At 43.8% G+C, this 18,641-nt stretch overlaps 1 protein-coding gene and 1 pseudogene across 5 annotated transcripts in view; one reads left to right on the plus strand and one right to left on the minus strand.

Moving 5' to 3' along the window:
* ADRA1B (adrenoceptor alpha 1B) overlaps positions 1–18,641 on the plus strand; it is a 124,120-nt gene that overhangs the window by 83,947 nt on the left and 21,532 nt on the right. The window contains exon 2 of one of the 5 annotated variants that reach the window (XM_005265819.3): positions 6,081–7,228. The exons of the other annotated variants lie outside the window; for them this stretch is intronic. Within the exon in view, the coding sequence (XP_005265876.1) occupies positions 6,081–6,118 (38 nt within the window). The 3' untranslated portion in view covers positions 6,119–7,228. Of the gene's footprint in view, positions 1–6,080; positions 7,229–18,641 lie in introns of those variants that run through there. 5 annotated transcript variants of the gene reach the window in all.
* GAPDHP40 (glyceraldehyde 3 phosphate dehydrogenase pseudogene 40) lies at positions 1,259–2,537 on the minus strand (annotated as a pseudogene).

Consider the following 18,641-nt stretch of genomic DNA (forward strand, 5'->3'; position numbering starts at 1 on the left):
AATTCAAGTCAGCCTGACTGCAGAGCTAGCACACTTAACCACTAAGACAAATTCTTAAAATTGTAATTTCAGGGAAACTAAATACATAAAACTGTAAGGCTTTTGAATCACCTTACTCAATTACCCTCCAGAAAGCATATTCCAATTTATACTCCTACCCTCAATGTATGAATGCCCATTCATTCACATCATCATCAACATGGGGTACTACTCAATTTGTATTGTTCATTAGGGAAAAATGAAGCCCAATCTTCTGATAGCTCATTCACGCTTTTAGAGCATGCATGCAACATGGTTCCTGATCAAAACAGTGATTTTCTCTAAATCAATGGCTCTTATCCTTTTTTTGGTACATGGGCGCTTTTGAAAATCTGAGGGAAGCTATGAAACAGCTACGCAGAAAATGTACATATGCACATCAAATAACCTCTTATTTTTCAGTGGCTCACAAACACCATTAAGAACTTCTGGGCTTGCCAGAGGATTGATGCATCAACAACATGAAAACTAAAACTAAAAGCAGGACTAATACACTCATTCTTCAAATGCTGGTCTTGCCAGATTGTTCTTTTAAACAATCCTGAAGCATAAGAAACCAGATCAGGAGACACTGGAATGAAATGCCCAGGCACTATAACAGTGTATTTGCCATGTAGTAGGAGGTACTAGGTCAAGACTCTCCTGAGGTCATGCTGTCCTCCACTAAGATCAGCAAGATCTCAGAGCAGATGGACCGGCCGGCACCAGCCTGCCTCCATTTGTGCACTTCAGCAGCCTCAGAAGAATAAGTGTTGGATTCTCTTGCCAAATGCACTTCTTCACACGCTGGCGTTTTTCATTATGTCCTCTTGCATCCTGTTCCTTTATGGCTTGCAAAGCCTCATCCCAGATAAGTCAAACCTCCACCAACCCTACCCACTCCCCTCCTGTCACAAGCAGTGGATCAGGGCAAGCAGGGAAGAGAGAGTGAGGTCCAGGGCCTCGCCTGTCCATCTGCTCTGAATGCTGTTGTGCCAGGCAGATCTTTCTGTGAGCCCTCCTTGACCAGAGCACGTGCTCCCTGGGAGGAATGGGGCAGTTTTTTGTAATGATCCATCAGGGAAGTTTTCTGTAATAATCCATTGAGGCTCAGTGACATTTCAGGATTAGGGGTGAAACATCTGGTTCCAGCTTGCAAGGAAGGAGGCGGACAGAGGAATTAGCAAGCTTAAGTGATCTGCCCTTTTGGGTGACCCTAGTGGAGAATTTTTTCTTTTTTTGGCTGAGCACAGGGGACTTTATTGATAGTACATGACAAGGTGGGGCTCCCTAGGCCCCTCCCTCTTCAGGGGGTCTGTATGGAAACTGTGAGGAGGGGAGAGTCTCAGTGTCATGGGGGACTGTGTGTGGCAGGGACTCCCCATCAGTGAGGGCTTCTCGCTTCCTCTCATGCTCTCACTGGGGCTGGTGGTCCAGGGGTGTTACTCCTTGGAGGCTATGTGGGCCATGAGGTCCACCACCCTGTTGCTGTAGCCAAATTCGTTGTCATACCAGGAAATGAGCTTGACAAAATGGTCTTTGAGGGCAATGCCGGCCCCAGCATCAAAGGTGGAGGAGTGGGTGTCTCTGTTGAAGTCAGAGGAGACAACCTGGTGCTCAGTGTCGCCCCAGATGCCCTTGGGGGGACACTCCAATGCTCACTTCACCACCTTCTTAATGTCATCATATTTGGCAGGTTTTTCGAGACGGCAGGTGAGGTCCATGACTGACACGTTGGTGATGTGGACACAGAAGCCCATGTCAGTGAGCTTCTTGTTCAGCTTAGAGATGACCCCTACCCACAGCCTTGGCAGTGCCAGTAGAGGCAGGGGTGATGTTCTGGAGAGCCCCGCAGCCGTCGCACCACAGTTTCCCAGAGAGGCCATCCACAATCTTCTGGGTGGCAGTGATGGCGTGGACTGTATTCTGGAATCTTTCCACAATACCAAAGTTGTCATGGATGACCTCGCCCAGGGGCACTAAGCAGTTGGTGGTGCAGGAGGCATAGCTGACGATATTGAGTCTGTTGTCATACTTCTTGTGGTTCATGCCCATCACGAACATGGGGGCATCAGCAGAGGGGGCAGAGATGATGACCCTTGTAGCTCCTCCCTGCAAGTCAGCCCCAGCCTTCTCCATGGTGAAAGACGCTGGTGGACTTCACAACATATTCAGCGCCAGCATCGCCCCATTTGATTTTGGAGGGATCTTGCTCCTGGAAGATGGTGATGGGATTTCCATTGATGACAAGCTTCCCTTTCTCAGCCTTGACAGTGCCATGGAATTTGCCATGGGTGGAATCATACTCGAACATGTAAACCATGTAGTTGAGGTCAATGAAGGGTCATTAATGGCAACAATATCCACTTTACTAGAGTTAAAAGCTGCCCTGGTGAGCAGGTGCCCAATACATCCAAATCCGTTGACTCCAGCCTTCACCTTCACCACGGTGTCTTGGGGATGCAGCTGGCAATGCACGAGAAGATGCAGCTGTCTGTCGAACGGGAGGAGCAGAGAGCCCCTAGTGGAGAATTTAGCACGGTCTGGATGGATAGACGAGACCACTGTGAGACAGGGGCAAAGAATGCAGTCTGCTCCTCGGGCCGGAACCTGAGCTGCCCTGGCCTGGCTACCCACCCATAGCCACCTTTGGGGTCTCACTGTGCACAAAACCACCTCATCCTAGTCAGAAATACGGAGCAGAGTGGTGAGGGGAACAAGGGCTGTTGTGCCCTTTTATTGTCTGGCTTAGTTCTATCTTTTCATCCCTGCTTATATTTTCCATCCTTTGAAAACTCACTCTTTGCTCTGTCCTCTCACTTTTGTTGCTGGCATTGCTCGTCCACAGATCATGGAAGGATTTGTGAGTTAGGCATCTCTTCTCCCTCCACCTTCTTGGAGGCCCAGAACTGACTTTCACAAGGCCTGGAGATGGCAAAAGGATGACTTTTCAATTCTAAATTATTACAGTTTCTCCTGGATTTGGCTGGGAAAATGAGTCATCTGAAAACTAGTGTATTCACAGTCAAACGCTTATCCCCTACACTTTTCAGTCCCCTGTGTAATCTGCTATACTTTCTTAAATTGCCTTTTGGTACAGGAGGCCCTTCTTATTCTTGGGGGATATGTTTCAAGAACCCCAGTGGATGCCTAAAACCGTAGATAGTACCTAACCCTATATACACTATGTTTTTCCAACGCATACATATCTACAATAAAGCTTAATTTATAAATTAGGCACAGTATGAGGTTAAGAATAATAATAATAAAATAGAATGAGTGTAATAATATACTGTAATAAAAGCTATCTGAACGTGGTCTCACTCGCTCTCTCAAAACATCTTATTGTATGTAATATAATATTTTTGGACTGCAGTTGACCTCAGGTAACTGAAAGCATGGATGGCGAAACTGTGGATATGGGGGAAACTACTGTCCTTGGCTTCCTAGTGGCCTGCCTCACCAGGTTAAAACAGCAGCACATGGGAGAGCAGGAGCTCATGGGTTGTACTGAGATAGCTCCATGACTGAGTAAATTACTTCTCTTATAAGTGTCGATTTCAACATCTGTAAAATGGGGGCAGTTAATTGCATCTCCCACCTAGAATTGTGTTGGGTATGAATGAGAGGTGCATGTTAGGGGTTATTACAGTGCTTGCCACCTATAAGCTCTCTGTACATGATAACTACTCTTATTGTCATTGTTATTGTTATAAAATTCAGATCCCCACTATCTTCTGTATTTTTCTTTGAATTTTGTCATAAAGACAGAGTCCATTTCTAATTATTGTGAGAATCAGCACACATTCTCCACCTTCTCTGTAATCAGGACACTGCGTAAGAAGCCAGGCCTCCCCTCTCAAGAGCTGAATAACCTTCTTACATTATAGGCTTTCTGAAACACACTTGCCCTGTTGCAGTTACACAGGGGGGATGCTATTTCCTGCCCTTCCAGCTCCTATGTCCTCAAAACATGTGAATATGGAATCACTTTTATAGGAACGTTCTTTGAAAGTGACAATGTCAAGAGCTGGATGTGGTGGCTCACATCTGTAATCCCAGCACTTTGGGAGGCCAAGGCAGGTGGATCACCTGAGGTCGGAAATTCGAGACTAGCCTGGCCAAGATGGCAAAACCCCATCTCTACTAAAAATACAAAATTAGCTGGGAGTGATAGCACACACCTGTAATCCCAGCTACTCAGCAGACTGAGGCAGGAGAATCACTTGAACCTGGGAGGCAGAGTTTGCAGTGAGCCGATCGTGCCACCGCACTCTAGCCTGGGCAACAGAATAAGACTCTGTCTCAGAAAAATAAAAAATAAAAAAAAAGATAGTGGCAATGTCAAATAATGCCTCCTTTCCAAACTATCCCCACCACACATCTCTCCATCCCTGCGTGTAACCAGCACCTCCCCATCTTCTTCTAGACACCCCCACACTGAGTGTTCCAAGGGAGTCACAAGTCTCCAGTCTGTGGCAATCAGCACTGGGGTGTGGAAGGGCCAGTAGCTCTGGGTCGGGCCTCAAATTGAAGCCTGTCTCTACCACTGTGTAATCTTGAGCAAATTCCTTAATCAGGCTGAGCTGGCATTGTTTCATCTATAAAATGGGCTAATAATTATACCCATCTCAGAGGCTTGTGAGGACTGAATAATTAGTGAAATCTCCTTGCTTCCTGAATCAGTGTTAATCTCCTTGCTCAGATGCAGGCATCTAAGAGATGTTCAATACAGACTTGCTGTGAAGGGGAGCAAAGCTCGGGGACCTCCTGCTGAGGGCGATAATCCAAAACCTATGCCAAATTGAGAATGGAGCATTTATCTATGTGAAAAGAGCTGGTGAAAAAAAAAAGAAAGAAAATGAAAGCCATTTTCTACCATCACCATTCCCAACTCTCTCTCCCCGGCTGCCTCTCAACAAGGCTGACACCAAAGCTGCCAGGAGACAGGACAGAAATGCTCGCCTGAAAAGAGACATAAGAAAAGTGACAAAAGACATTTATATGAATTTGGAACTCCTGGAGCAAACTGGGAGGGAAATGGAGAGGAACAGAGATGGGAATGGACAAGGAGGGGGTCAGCGAGATCCGCATCAATAGTTCTCCTCCATGCTTGGTGTCTGAATCAGCTCCGGCTGCTGTAACAAGGTACCTTAGACCAGGTGGCTTATCAACAACAGAAATTTATTCCTCACAGTTCTGGAGGCTGGAAGTCCGAGATCAGGGTGCTGGTATGGTCAGGTTCTGGTGAGGGCTGTCTTCCAAGTTGCAGACAGATGCCTTCCTGTTGTGGCCTTACATGGGATAAAGATGGGGAGGAAGCTCTCTGGGATCTCTTTTATAAGGGTATGAATCCCATTCATGAGGGCTCCACCCTCGTGACCTAATTACCTCCCAAAGGCCCCACCTCCTGATACCATCACCTGGCAGGATAGGACTTCAACAAATGGATTTTAGGAGGACAATCACTCCATTGCGCTTGGTATGAGTGATTTTTCTCTTATGGAATCACTGCCTCTGTGTGGTGCAAATAGAGGAGGCCACCAAGGGAAATGGAGCCCATGAGTCAGGAGAGGCCACAAGGAAGGTAGTGTCCCTGCCCTACAACAGGAATCGGGGGACTCCAAGGGAGGATTTTGAACTTCCAGGGTTATGGGAAAGGGATACAGGAGACAATCTCACCTAACTTTCAAGGAGTAGGAAGGCCTCCTCCACCTGGCATCCAAGCTACCATATGTAGCCAGCACAGGCAATAACACCGAACACATTCAGACTTTTATCATTGAGATTCTCAGAAAACATTCTTGTATGGCCACAGTAAGCCCACCCAGCTGGGTGTCCTACAGGACATCTTCAAGTTGTACTGCTACCTGGAAGGTTTCCCCGCTGTAAGGAGACTTTGAGGGCTGGAATTTCGGGGTCATTTATGGCATGCCGGTAGACCTAGACTGAGAAGCAAGATAAGGGTTCATCTTGCTGGAACCTGGAGAATGGCATGCATTCAGCAGCAAAGACTAATCATTTCATTATACAATATTTATGATGCCAGGCAATGTGCTTAGCCTTCAGGATACCGAAAGACAAGAAAGGGCTCTGGTGAGAAGACAAGACACCCTGGAGATGGTGTACCAGCGTCATTCACTCTGTATTGGAGAAGTCCTGAGGGCTGCGGGTGTCAAGGAAGGTATGAGTCCCATATGTGGCCTCCTCAGGGAGGAATGTGTGCCAGACTGAGCCAAACAAGCGAGAGGTGACACAGAGCCATCCAGGGGTCCAGACATAACCTTAACCTGTCATATCAGTTTGGATGCAGGAAAAGTTTTGATGCACACCAGCGAAAGGACAGAACAAAGGGATGAGTCAGAAAGAAGAGGGCAGGGAAATCAGCGAACAGCTGCTGAGAGGAGAGATGAAAGGGACTGCATGGAGCCTAATGGTCTAAGTGGCCCAATCTCAATGTTTTACCATCTGATTCCCCAAGGCTGGAAATTGTCCCTGTTCTCTTGTAGAGCCTTTCATCCTAAGACACCTGTGCCTCTCTGCCAGCCAGCAGGTTCATCTACTGCTTAGGAAGGAAGGATTCAGTGCTGTGTGGCCTGTTTGTCCTAGGCTCAAAGAAACTCTGGCTGGAGAAATATCTGCACCTTTTTCCCTAATTTCCATTCTACCTCTAAAAGCTGAACACAAGGCTAAGAGTCAGAGAAGGAGGGGGCCCTGGTAGCTAATGCGACCCCCTTGTTTTGTACATGGAGAAGCTGGAGCCCAGAAAGGCCATGACCCAGCTTGAAGGTCTACCAGCTACTAGCCCTCTTCTAGCTCTTTTCCCATCCCTATATTTTTGACCTTTGTCTCTCCCTCAATCTTTCTCTTTGTCTCTCTCTCTCTCTCTGATTACCAAAGAAATATTTGAGGCCAGGCATAATGGCTCCTGCGTGTAATCCCAGCATTTTGGGAGGCTGAGGCAGGAGGATCACTTGAGCCCAAGGTTTTGAGACCAGCCTGGGCAACTTAGGGGAGATCCCATCTCTACAAAAAAGTTTTCAATTGGCCAGGCCTGGTGACACTGAGTAGTCCCAGCTACTCAGAAGACTGAGGCAGGAGAATCTCTTGAGCCCAGGAGTTTGAGGCTGCAGCAAGCTATGATCACATCACTGCACACCAGCCTGGATGACAGGAGGAGACCCGTTTCAAAGTAAACAAACAACAAAAATGTCCATTGCAAAAAGAATTTTAAATACAAAGTGAAAATGTTCACATAAACACATTCCAGAGATAACAGCTATGAACAGTTTGGTGTATACTCACCCAGATTTCCAAATTTTATTTTTTTGTTGGCTGTAACTATACCAAAACACACACACAGAGGTTTTTTTAATAGAAATCCAAAGCATTCTAAGCATTCTTCCCTGAAATTTGCTTTTTTGCTACTTAATTTTGTTATGGACATCATCCCATTGTTGACAGCTTACCATTTTAATAAATGTATGGTTTTTCATTATGTAAATGCTACATGATTTCACAATCCCCTATTGTTAAAAATTTTAATTATTTCCTATTTGTGGAAAGCATTACTGCAATTTTTTATACTGTCATCTTTGCTGTCTTTCAAGAATACTTACGTAGGCTAAATTTCTGAATGTCAAATACTTAGATCAAAAGCCATGCTCATTTTAATTTTATTAGGTAATGCCAGTTTTCCACCCAAAATTTACATCTCCGCCCAGAATATATGACAATGTCTGTTTTCCCACACACTTGCCAAATTGAGCATAAGCACTTTTTAAAATATCTTCCACAAAAATATACCTAAAATATTTTAATATTTTGCTTTTTTTTTCCTGAGACAGGGTCTTGCTCTGTCACCCAGGCTGGAGTGCAATGGTGCAATCTCGGCTCACTGCCACCTCCACCTCCAGCGTTCAAGCAATTCTCCTGCTTCAGCCTCTCAGGTAGTTGGGATTACAGGCATGCACCACCACGCCCAGGTAATTTTGTATTTTTAGTAGAGATGGGGTTTCACCATGTTGGCCAGGCTGGACTCGAACTCCTGACCTCAAGTGATCCGCCCGCTTTGGCCTCCCAAAGTGCTGGAATTACAGGTTTGAGCCACTGTCCCCAGCCTTATTTTGCTGCTTTTTAATTTACATTATTTATTTTGTAAAGAAATTTCAGGCCAGGCATGGTGGCTCACTCCCATAATCCCAGCACTTTGAAAGACTGAAGTGGGCAGATCACTTGAGCCCAGGAGTTTGAGACCAGCTGGGGCAACATGGTGAAACTCTGTCTCTACCAAAAAAATACAAAAATTAGCTGGGTGCCATTGTGCGCACCTTTAGTTCAGCAACTCTGTAAGCTGAGGTGGGAGGATCACTTGAGCCCAGGAGGTGGAGGCTGCAGTGAGCTGAGATCATGCAACTGCGCTCCAATCTGGGCAATAGAGTGAGAGACTCTGTCTCAAAAAAAAAAAAAAAAAAATTATATTTTTCATTAATTCATTGGGTGTCAATTATACTTACTCTTCTTATTTGTTTATTCATATGATTTAGTTTTCTATTGAGTTTTCTCTTATTTATTTGAAAGAGAGCTTTGTGTGTTAGAAATATCATTCCTTGGCCAGGATCATGCCTATAATCCCAGCACTTTGGGAGGCCAGTGCAGGTGGATCACCTGAGGTGAGGAGTTCGAGACAAGCCTGGTCAACATGATGAAACCTCGTCTCTACTACAAATACAAAAAATTAGCTGGGCATGGTGGCAGGTGCCTGGATTCCCAGCAACTTAAGGCCAGAGAATCACTTGAACCCGGGAGGTGAAGGTTGCAGTGAGCCAAGATCACACCATTGCACCCCAGCCTGGGCAACAAGAGCAAAACCCCATCTCAAAAAAAAAAAAAAAAAAAAAAAGAAAAGAAAAAAGAAAAGAAAAGAAATATCATTCTTTTACTGTCATTTGAATTACACATATTTCTCCCAATTCTTCTTTTGTTTTTGAAATTTGCAGCCTTATAAAAATGTCTAGACAAATTCATCAATACATTTATTTACAGATCCTGGACTTTTAGCTGTGCTTAAAATGGTCTTTCTTATTTTATACTTATAAAAATATGTACCTATATCCTCTTCTAATACTTTAACAATTTTTCTATATTTAAGATATTGGATCTGTCTAAGTTTATTTTAATGTAAGAAATAAAGTAAAGATCCAGCCTTATTTCTTTCTTAAATAGCTATCCTGTTGCCCCAACTTACAGTCTGTTTTTTCCCACCACTTACAGTCTGTTTTTTCCCACAAGCATTGAAATGGCATGTAAAATTCTCATGGATATTTGGTTCTCTTTATAAACTACATAATTTCATTGATCTTTCTTCTGCCTTTTTCTGCACTTCCTGCCCTAGGATTTTTTTTAATTACTATGATTCTATGACAGGTTTTAATATTTACAGAGCTGAGTTTACCCATTTTCCTCATACCCACTCTTACCATTCCTCTTTATTTCCATTGATCTGGATATTTTTCTCATGGTTATTCTTCCAAATTCCATATTCTTCCATAAATTTGGTTTTGGATTATTTAGCTCTCCACACAACAAAAACAACAACAACAAAAACCTGTTGGGATTTTAATTAGACTGTTTTGAATTTTCAGATTAATTTGGGGAAAAGTGAAGTTATCTTGGATAGAGACTTCCTATACAAAAGCAATCTATGTATCTTCACTTATAGATGTCTTCTTTTATGACCCTTTATAAAGTTTTATAGCTTCTTCATGGTAAGTCCCACCAATGCTCAGTTTCTAAAAGTGTTCTGCAGGGAAATTACTATTTCCAATGAGGTCAAAGCATGGAACAAATTCAGTCTGGCATCAAAGATGGAAGCTTAGTGCTGCAGAAACCATTTCATCCCATCTGCTTTCAACTCTGGGCTTAAGCCAAAAGGTAGCTCCCCTACTGGAAGTTGGAATGGGTCAATCAGTTAATCAGTGGTAATCAATGGGCACTGACTGCATGCCCAGGCCTGTGCTAGAAGGGCAAGACACAGACCTCATCTTTAAGGAGCTTTTACAGTTCCCAAAGAGTTAAGAGGCACACCCCCTAACAATGGCATTTTATATTAACCCGTGTACTATGGACTCTCTTTGATGGTAAATAAAAAAGAAGAAGTCTGGAGCAGTCAGGAAGGGTTTTGGGAGGAGATGAAAACCGAGCTGGGTGTTGGCACATGAATGTCATTTAGGTAAGTAAAGAAGGGAAAGGAATCAAATACAGGCAACAACCATTTATTCAGCACCTATTATGAACCCGATACTGAGTTAGGCACATGAAAAGGACGTTATGTGCTCAACAAGTATTTTTACACATTCACTGTAACAGGCTCTGTGTTGGGTGCTAGAGAAACCAAGACAAATAAGATTGACCCTAGCCTTAAGGAGCTCATGAACAAGAAAGACAAACCCTTAAATAAGTTCAACTGTTATGATGGAAATCTGTAGAGAGAAGAGCAGAGACTTTTAATCTGGGGACTGTGTACTTCCTGGACATCCGTGGATGAGATTCAGCAGGGCTGTGAGCCCCTGAAATTACATGGCACTGAATTATCTGCTTAACCAGTATTGTCAAGTTAAAAGTGACACAAAATTCCTGGCTTCTAGATACTTGCATTTTAATAGCCAGATAAAATATATGTGAAGATATCATTACTTCTAGGAGTTGTCATTTGTAGAAGCAAAATAATATTAATTGTAATAAAAATTTTAAAAATGTAAAAAAAAAAAAACCATTACAAAAAAACCTAAGTACCTAGTTCTGGCCTTCCCCACCCCAGAAGTATTCTCAGAGTTTAGAAATAATATTGCGTATTATGGAAACTAATTTGAGGCCAGGAAGATTAGCGTTTCGATCATAACTCTACCACTTAATATCTGTGTCATATTGGGTGAGTTCCATACACTCACAGCTTCCATTTCCACATTTGTAAATTGGGAGTTACGGAACCCAAGGCGTTACACGAGGCACCCTCATGCCTATTGTGAAGATGAAAACATTAATAGGTCGGGTGTGTAAGTCATCTGGATCTTAGCGGGTCTTCTCAGGCTGTTCATTCCTGCCTTCTGCTTTCACACTTCAGAGGAAAGTGGTTATGAGAAGAAAGAATTTGAGCCAGGCCTGGAAAGGATGGAGAGAAAAGGGTATCTCAGACCAGTGTGGACAGCGTGAATAAAGGGAAAGGGGCCAGAAAAGTCAATGCTCTTGCAGAGAATCAGTCCATTGCAGCCACGTTGAATAGGTCTTATATTCTAACCTAAGCAGTTTGAACTTTATCCTACAAACTAGAGGAGTCACTGGAGGATTGGGGCCAAGGGGGTCAACCCCATAGTGAGGTGGCTCTCAGCCCAGCCTGTGCTCACCCATGAATCCCAAGATACACACAAAAATAGTTCTTAAAAGTAAAATTGTAATGCGGGCTAAGGCAATACTTCTCACCTCAGGATCTTGTTAAAAAGTAGATTTTGAACTGAACATGGGGACACCTGCCTGTAGTTCCAACTACTCAGGAGGCTGAAGCAGGAGGATCACTTGAACCCAGCAATCAAGGCCAGTCTGGCCTGGGCAACATAGCAAGTTCAGATCCAGCCTGGGCAATACAGAAAGACCCCAGCTCTTAAAAAAAAAAAAAAAAAAAGCAGATTCTGATGCACTGGATCAGAGATTCTGCATTTCTAACCAGCACTCAGGTGCTGCTTATCCATGAACCTCATTTTGCATAGCCAGAGGCTAATGCATTTTGGTTTTATTATTTTTATCACTATTATTCATGCAACACCTGCTGGCTGAGTGCCTTTCACGTGTCAGGCACTGTGCTAGGTAGGCCTTGGGCACAGAGAGAAGAGTCAGACATGAACCCTCTTTTCTAGTCATTCACAGTCTAATCAGAGGAGATGAGAATATAGACCTAAGCAATTGTAATCCAAGGTTCAAAGGGACAAATGCCACATTTTAGTTTCAGAAAAAGTGCTTTGACAATTCAGCATTCCCAGTTAAGGGAGAAATTCCCTAGTGTTTAAGGAAATGAATAAATGCTCCTTTTCCTTATTATTAAACGAGTAAAAACCCACACTTCAAAATTGGATTTTAATTAGAGTCCACCACATACTAGGCATGTGACCTTGTTAACCTCTTAAGCCTTAATTTCCTCCTCTGCAAAATGAAATACATAGTAGCAGGGCTGTTGGAGAATTACAATAGAGAATGTTTGTAAATGTGGTACCTTAATAACTGGTTTTGGAATGGAGTTGTTGCAAAAGGTGGCTGTGGTTATTATTGTTTTCAGCATTTGTTTTAAAACTTAACATGGCTCTATTGGCCCAAAGATATTGTATTCACTGGACAAGTTTATGATCTCATTCCAGGGTTAAGTGGCAAATAAAAATGGAAAAACCTTGAAGGGAATTTCCAAATCCAAGGAAACCTTCTTTTACAAAGCTGGTGCTGACAGAAGCAGCATATTATTGTAAATTTTTCCAGTTTTTACTGGACCAAATTGTTTCAGCTGAGGAGATGTGGTTTGCCTGACGGTGTAGCCAAATGCCCCTAATAAGAGCCACACTGCAAAGGAGTTCCACTCCATTTACAAGAGGATCAAAACAGTTTCTCCACCCACTGACTCCCCTGAGGTCATTGGCTTGTTTGACACTGACTGTGAAATAAATCAAATCAAATTTATAATCCCAGAGTCCCAGAATGTCAGGGCCCAGAGGGATGTTAGAAACCACCCAGCCCATGGCTGGCATTTTGTAGACCAGATAAATGATGCTTTAGGTCCCCACGCCACACTGCAGTCTCTGAGCCTGCTCATTGCCTCATTTCTTCAGCCAATATTGAGTGAAGGCCAATGGATTTAAGAATATGTAAAGTCAGCGCTTTGGGAGGCCGAGGCGAGGTTAGGAGTTCAAGACCAGTCTGGTCAACATGATGAAATCCTGTCTCTATCAAAAAATACAAAAATTAGCCATGCGTGATGACATGCACTATAGTCCCAGCTACTCGGGAAGCTGAAGCAGGAGAATCACTTGAACCTGGGAGGTAGAAGTTGCAGTGAGCCGAGATTGCACCACTGTGCTCCAGCCTGGGCAACAGAGTGAGACCCTGTCTCAAAGAAAAAAGAATATGTAAAGAATAAAAAGATTCCTCCATTTATGCCCCACAGTAAGGAGATAGGGACAGGGGACCACAGGCACATCAGGAACTAACGAGGGGGCTGCTGGGGGCTTAATAACAAAAGATTTCATTTAAAAACTGTCTTTCTCAGGGACCTCAGACTGGTGCTGCCATCTGTCTGAGTGGTGCTGCCATCCGTCTGATTTCATTTCAAACCTCTCAAATCATCAGGTTTCATTTTCATTTCAAATCTCTCAAATCATCTCATTTCATTTTAAACCTGTCTCTCACCTGTGAGGGACCTCGCACTGGTGCTGCCGTCTACCCATTTCTTCATCTGTAAAATAGGGATAATCCCACCCTGCTCAGGGAGCTGTTGTCAGGATTAAATGAAACAGGAGCTAAAAAAGTTGGCGGCACATAACAAGGACCCAATACGCACAGCATCTTTTGGCTTGTTTTTCAGCTTTTTTTTTTTTTTTTTTTGAGACAAGGTCTCGCTCTATTGCCCAGCCTGGAATGCAGTGATGCGATCATAGCTCACTTCAGCCTCAACCTCCTGAGCTCAAGCAATCCTCCCACCTCAGCCTCCCGAGTAGCTGGTCCACAGGTGTGGGGGCCACCACACCTGGCTATTTTTTTTTTTTTTTTTTTTTTTTACTTTTTGGCTTGTTTGGTTTTTAGCTTTTATTTCTTTTTCTTTTCTTTCTTTCTTTCTTTTTCTTTTCTTTTCTTTTTTTTTTTTTTTTTGAAACAACGTCTATGTTGCCCAGGTTGTTCTCAAACTCCTGGACTCGTGCGATCCTCCTGCTTCAGCCTTCCAAAGTCCTAGGATTATAGCCATGAGCCATTGCACCTGGCCTTTTAGCTTTTAGATAACATTCATTGGATTTTCCCCAGTTACAGAAGGAATTTGTGTTCATGGAGAACATTTTGGAAAACACCAAAAAGCACAGAGAAGGAAAATTCACCCATAATTTCCCCACACTCAAAGATAAGCACAGTTGACATTCCAGTACACACCCTCCCAGACCTTTCTATACATGAGCATTATGTTGAGACTTGACAGTGAATAAACAAAAAAAGTATATATATATATATATATATCCACACACATAAGTATGTATATTTTGTTTTCCTGTGAGCTGCATTGTGGTGATTAAGAGCCTCTGTCACAGCTGCCTATATTTAAATTCTAACTCTATTACCTACTAGCTCTGTGGCCTCGGGCAACTTACCTATATCAAATTTGAGTTTCTGTTCCCCTGTGTGTAAGAATCATGGCCCCCCAGGCCAGCCATGCAGGTTGGACACAGTCATCAAGAATTGTTGTAAAGGACAGTATGAATGGTGCCTTCTAGAGCACAGTCATGATGGACTGCCTTGGGAACAGTGGCTGTTGAAGGAGTAACTGGCCCAACAGTGGTTAAGCACTTAGCCCATCGCCTGGCACAGAGTCAGAGCTTGTTAAATGGTAGCTGCTATTCTACAGACATGCCCTGAGGTTTTGATGAGTGGCCCTCAGGTTCACGGAGTGTTGAGACCTCCACTGTTCATTGTTCACTGTTCAGATTTGTTGAATGTCAGCTTAAGGATGACCTGCTGGGGCCATGTCCAGCCAAGAAATGTTTTTCCCTGTGTATATCCTGCTCAATGTGAGCCTTTGACCCTTGCACTTCTCAGTCCCTCTAAATCGCCCTTGGGCACTCAAAGACTAAGTGATGTGGGTGGGCTCACGGCAACATCTGTTCCTCGATTTATCCCTCCTCCCCTCACCACCCCACCCCGGAAAAAAAAGAATAAAATAATAGAAATGCTTCCCACATGTGGTTTCCCAGGGCTGCACCTACATAGCAGGAGAAATTCACTATGGATTTGGGTGGTGTGCAAGATTGAAATGACATCTAGAGATAGCACAAGAAACCGTGAGTCACATATTCAGTCAGTCCATCACTGAGCAAATATCTATTTCAGCACCTACTACGTGTGCCAGGGCCTGGGCTCTCCAGAGACAAAGTGGTTCCCTGTTCACTTCTCTTTCAATCCTTTAGGTTCCTCAGAGAGCAGTGCCTCTCAGTTTAGGGCCAAAATGTCTTCAGCACCTCTCAACCACTGCTAATCTCCCTTTTCGAGAAAGAGGGAGCAGGCCTCATTCACACCACAGTCTGGAGCTATCCAGGAGGTACAAACATTGTTTTGTTTTCATCTTATTTTCTCCACCATGATGTTTTATTTATAGTAAATGATGCAAGTTTTAAAATAGTGATAGAAAGCTTCCTTCAAAAGAATTGAGATACCAAAAACTAATTGACGCAAAGAAAAGCGCTAAGTAAATGGTGGTCCAGGTGGCAGAATGATGAATGCTTAGCAAGCTTTAGACCTGGGATGGGGGAGTCTCAACCCTTTGAGGGTTACTGATCCCCTTGAGACCATGACGACAGCTATGGACCCTAACCAAGAAAATATAGGAATGTTGCCCACAATTTTAGCAGGTTCAGGAACCACGTGGAGACCATAATTCAGCTGGTATTGGAAAGAGCAGTAGGGTAAGTCTCAATGCCCACACAGCACATAGACCTCATCCTCTTCACCACCTTCTTCATCTTGGTAGCAGTGGTACTGGTGGTAACAGCGGTGCTGGCAGTTGTAACAGTAGCAGCGCTCAAAGCAGTCATCATAGCTATACTTATTGAGTGCTTTCAATGTGCCAGGTACTTACCAAGCCTGAGCTCACCTCATCCGTACAGAAAATAATTATTACCCTCCCAATTTTCCAGGAAACCAAGCCTCACCAAACTTAAGGATCTTCTCCAAGGTCGCCCAGCTGAGAATGCCAGGGCTAGGGTTTGAACCCAGATCTACCTACCTGTGATGTCTGAGCAGGTCCTTAACCACTAAACTCCACTGCCTCAATAAATATTTGCTGAAGCAAATGAATGGCAACTTGAACAGGTCGTGGTGGCCACTCTGCCATTCACCAGTTGAGTGACCTTGAGTGAGTCACTCCCCTCACCCTCACTGGCCCTCCATTAAGGAAGGAGGCTTCCCAGGCCTGGCGAGCCATGATTCCAAGAGGCAGGGCAAGGAGCATCAGGAACATTCCATGAGCAAGGGAAGCGGAGGCAGGCTCAGGGCCAGGCTCGGGAACATGCACAGGGGGTTAGTGGCATTGTTAAAGAGCCCAGCGCAGCCCTGACTTCCAGCACAGAGTGTCCAGGCCTTCCAGGAACCCACACTTCCTGTTGTATTTACTCCCCTCACCCAGCAGCTTCACCCACCACACTCTTCTCCAGTGACAGGTCTGTTTGGCTGCCCAGGGGAAACGATCCCTGCCACACATCCTCTTACATGCCTAACAGGCTTAGCATCTTGTTACTTAACGACAGCTTCTTGGTTTCCACCAAGGCAGGCCAGTGCAGCAAACGGGACCCCCCTAATCCCAGCAGCTACTGTGCTGGCAGAGGAAGAAGGAGGAAGGAGGGGGTCGAAAAATTTGTGGCATCTGTGGCAGCCTGGCGGTCCAGTCCCTGACCCACACTGCCCCGCTGTGGTGAAAGTCTAGGGAAGCAGGCACGCCCCAGCAGGGATGGGCAAGGCTTTGGTCTCTGACTTCATGAGGGATCTGAATTTATTTATTTATTTATTTATTTTTTTGACACAGACCAGGCTGTAGAGCAATGGAGCGATCTCAGCTCACTGCAACTTCCACCTCCTGGGTTCAAGCGAGCATTTTGGCTAATTTGTGTATGTTTAGTAAAGACAGGGTTTTACCATGTTGGCGAGGCTGGTCTCAAACTCCTGACCTCAGGTAATCCGCCCTCCTTGGCCTCCCAAAGTGCTGGATTACAGGTGTGAGCCACCATACCCAGCCAGAACTCTGAATTTTAAGGCTGAAAAAGACCCAGCTCACACCACTCAATTAAAGAAAGAAAACAGGCACAAAACTGGAAAGCAGTTCACCCAAAATGATACATGTAGTAAAATAGACCCCAAATATGTTTCCTAAAATTAGATTTCCAGCCCAATCAGGGATTTACAGGGACAATAATTATTATTTAGTTAATTACTATTCATGCAGAGTTGACTGAGTGACAGACACCTGGGATCCAGAGTGCTCATAAGGACTCTACATGTTTTTACCTTGCTTAATCCTCACAACAATCAGAGAGGTCAGTACTATTATTAGCCCATCTTACTGATGAGGAACTAAGGCTTAGGGACAGTATGAAACTGGCCCAAGGTCACATGGCCAGAGCCAGGATTCTATTCCAGGGAGTCCCATTCCAATAAAAAAGGGGACTCCCTGTCAGAAGTCACTGAGGACTTGTTCAGGGTGCAAAGGAGGACAAAATAAAATGAAATGCAAATGGAACAAGAGGGCAAGATCAGTGTTCACCTACCAAACAAGTGAGGATTAAAAAGGCTGAAAGAGCCCAGAGGTGGGGAGTTGTAGGGAAAATGTCAGATTCAGGCACAGTTGATAGGTGGGTAAATTAGTACAACCAGTTCAAAAGGCAATTTGGCTGTCAGGGCTTAAATGTGGAAATGACCCAGTGATTCCTCATGTGAATTTATTGCACAGAAACACCCAAATGTGCATGAAAAAGTGAATGCATGTGGCTTTTCATCACTGCAGTCCGTAATAGCCAAAAATTGGAAATCACCTATAGAGAAGGCATTAAATAAAACTACCATCTATCCAGACAGTAGGATGTAATGCAGCCCTTGTGGGGTGGGGAGAGAAGTGAAATAGCACCACGTACTTTGACAAGGAAATATCTTTTACATACTGTAAGCAAAGAGAGCAATTTGGGGAAAGGTATGTGCAGTATGACCCCATTTTTTTAAATCTGGAAGGATTCCAAATAAAACTGTTAACTCTGATCCCTTCTGCTTAAGTGGAGTATTTTCACTCTAGACTTAACAGATTTTTTGTAATACGTATTTTTTAAATTCAGCATGTATTACTTTTGAAATAAAAAAAATATACAAATCTGGAGGGGAAAAGAAAAGAAATGAAGATATAGCTCCTTTCCAGAAGGAATTTACAATCTGGGTGATGAACTAGGATTCAGCCAGACCTGGGATGGCTTAACATGAAAAAGCAAACAATAAAATAACAAAATATGATCTGCTTGTATGAATTCTATGGGGTACAGAATAAATAAGTCCATCTGAGTTGAGTGGGGCTAATCAGAGCTGAGTTCCTGGAAGAGAATGGGTCAGGATATAAAGTATATTTAGAAAATGGTCACTATTTATTATTTTCAAGATGTCAGACTCTGTGTCAAGTATTTTACATGGATATTTTCATGTGTTCACAGTAACTCTATGACATAGATATTGTCCCCATTTTACAGATGGGAAAATTGAGGCTGAGATGGCTAATTAACTCTTCTAAAGCTGAACAGCCAATAACTCAAGAGAGGTTTCAATACGGGTCTGTGTCATCCCAAGTTCTGGGTTCCAGC

This window comes from Homo sapiens, chromosome 5, assembly GCF_000001405.40.
Source record: "Homo sapiens chromosome 5, GRCh38.p14 Primary Assembly".
NCBI classification, from domain to species: domain Eukaryota; kingdom Metazoa; phylum Chordata; class Mammalia; order Primates; family Hominidae; genus Homo; species Homo sapiens.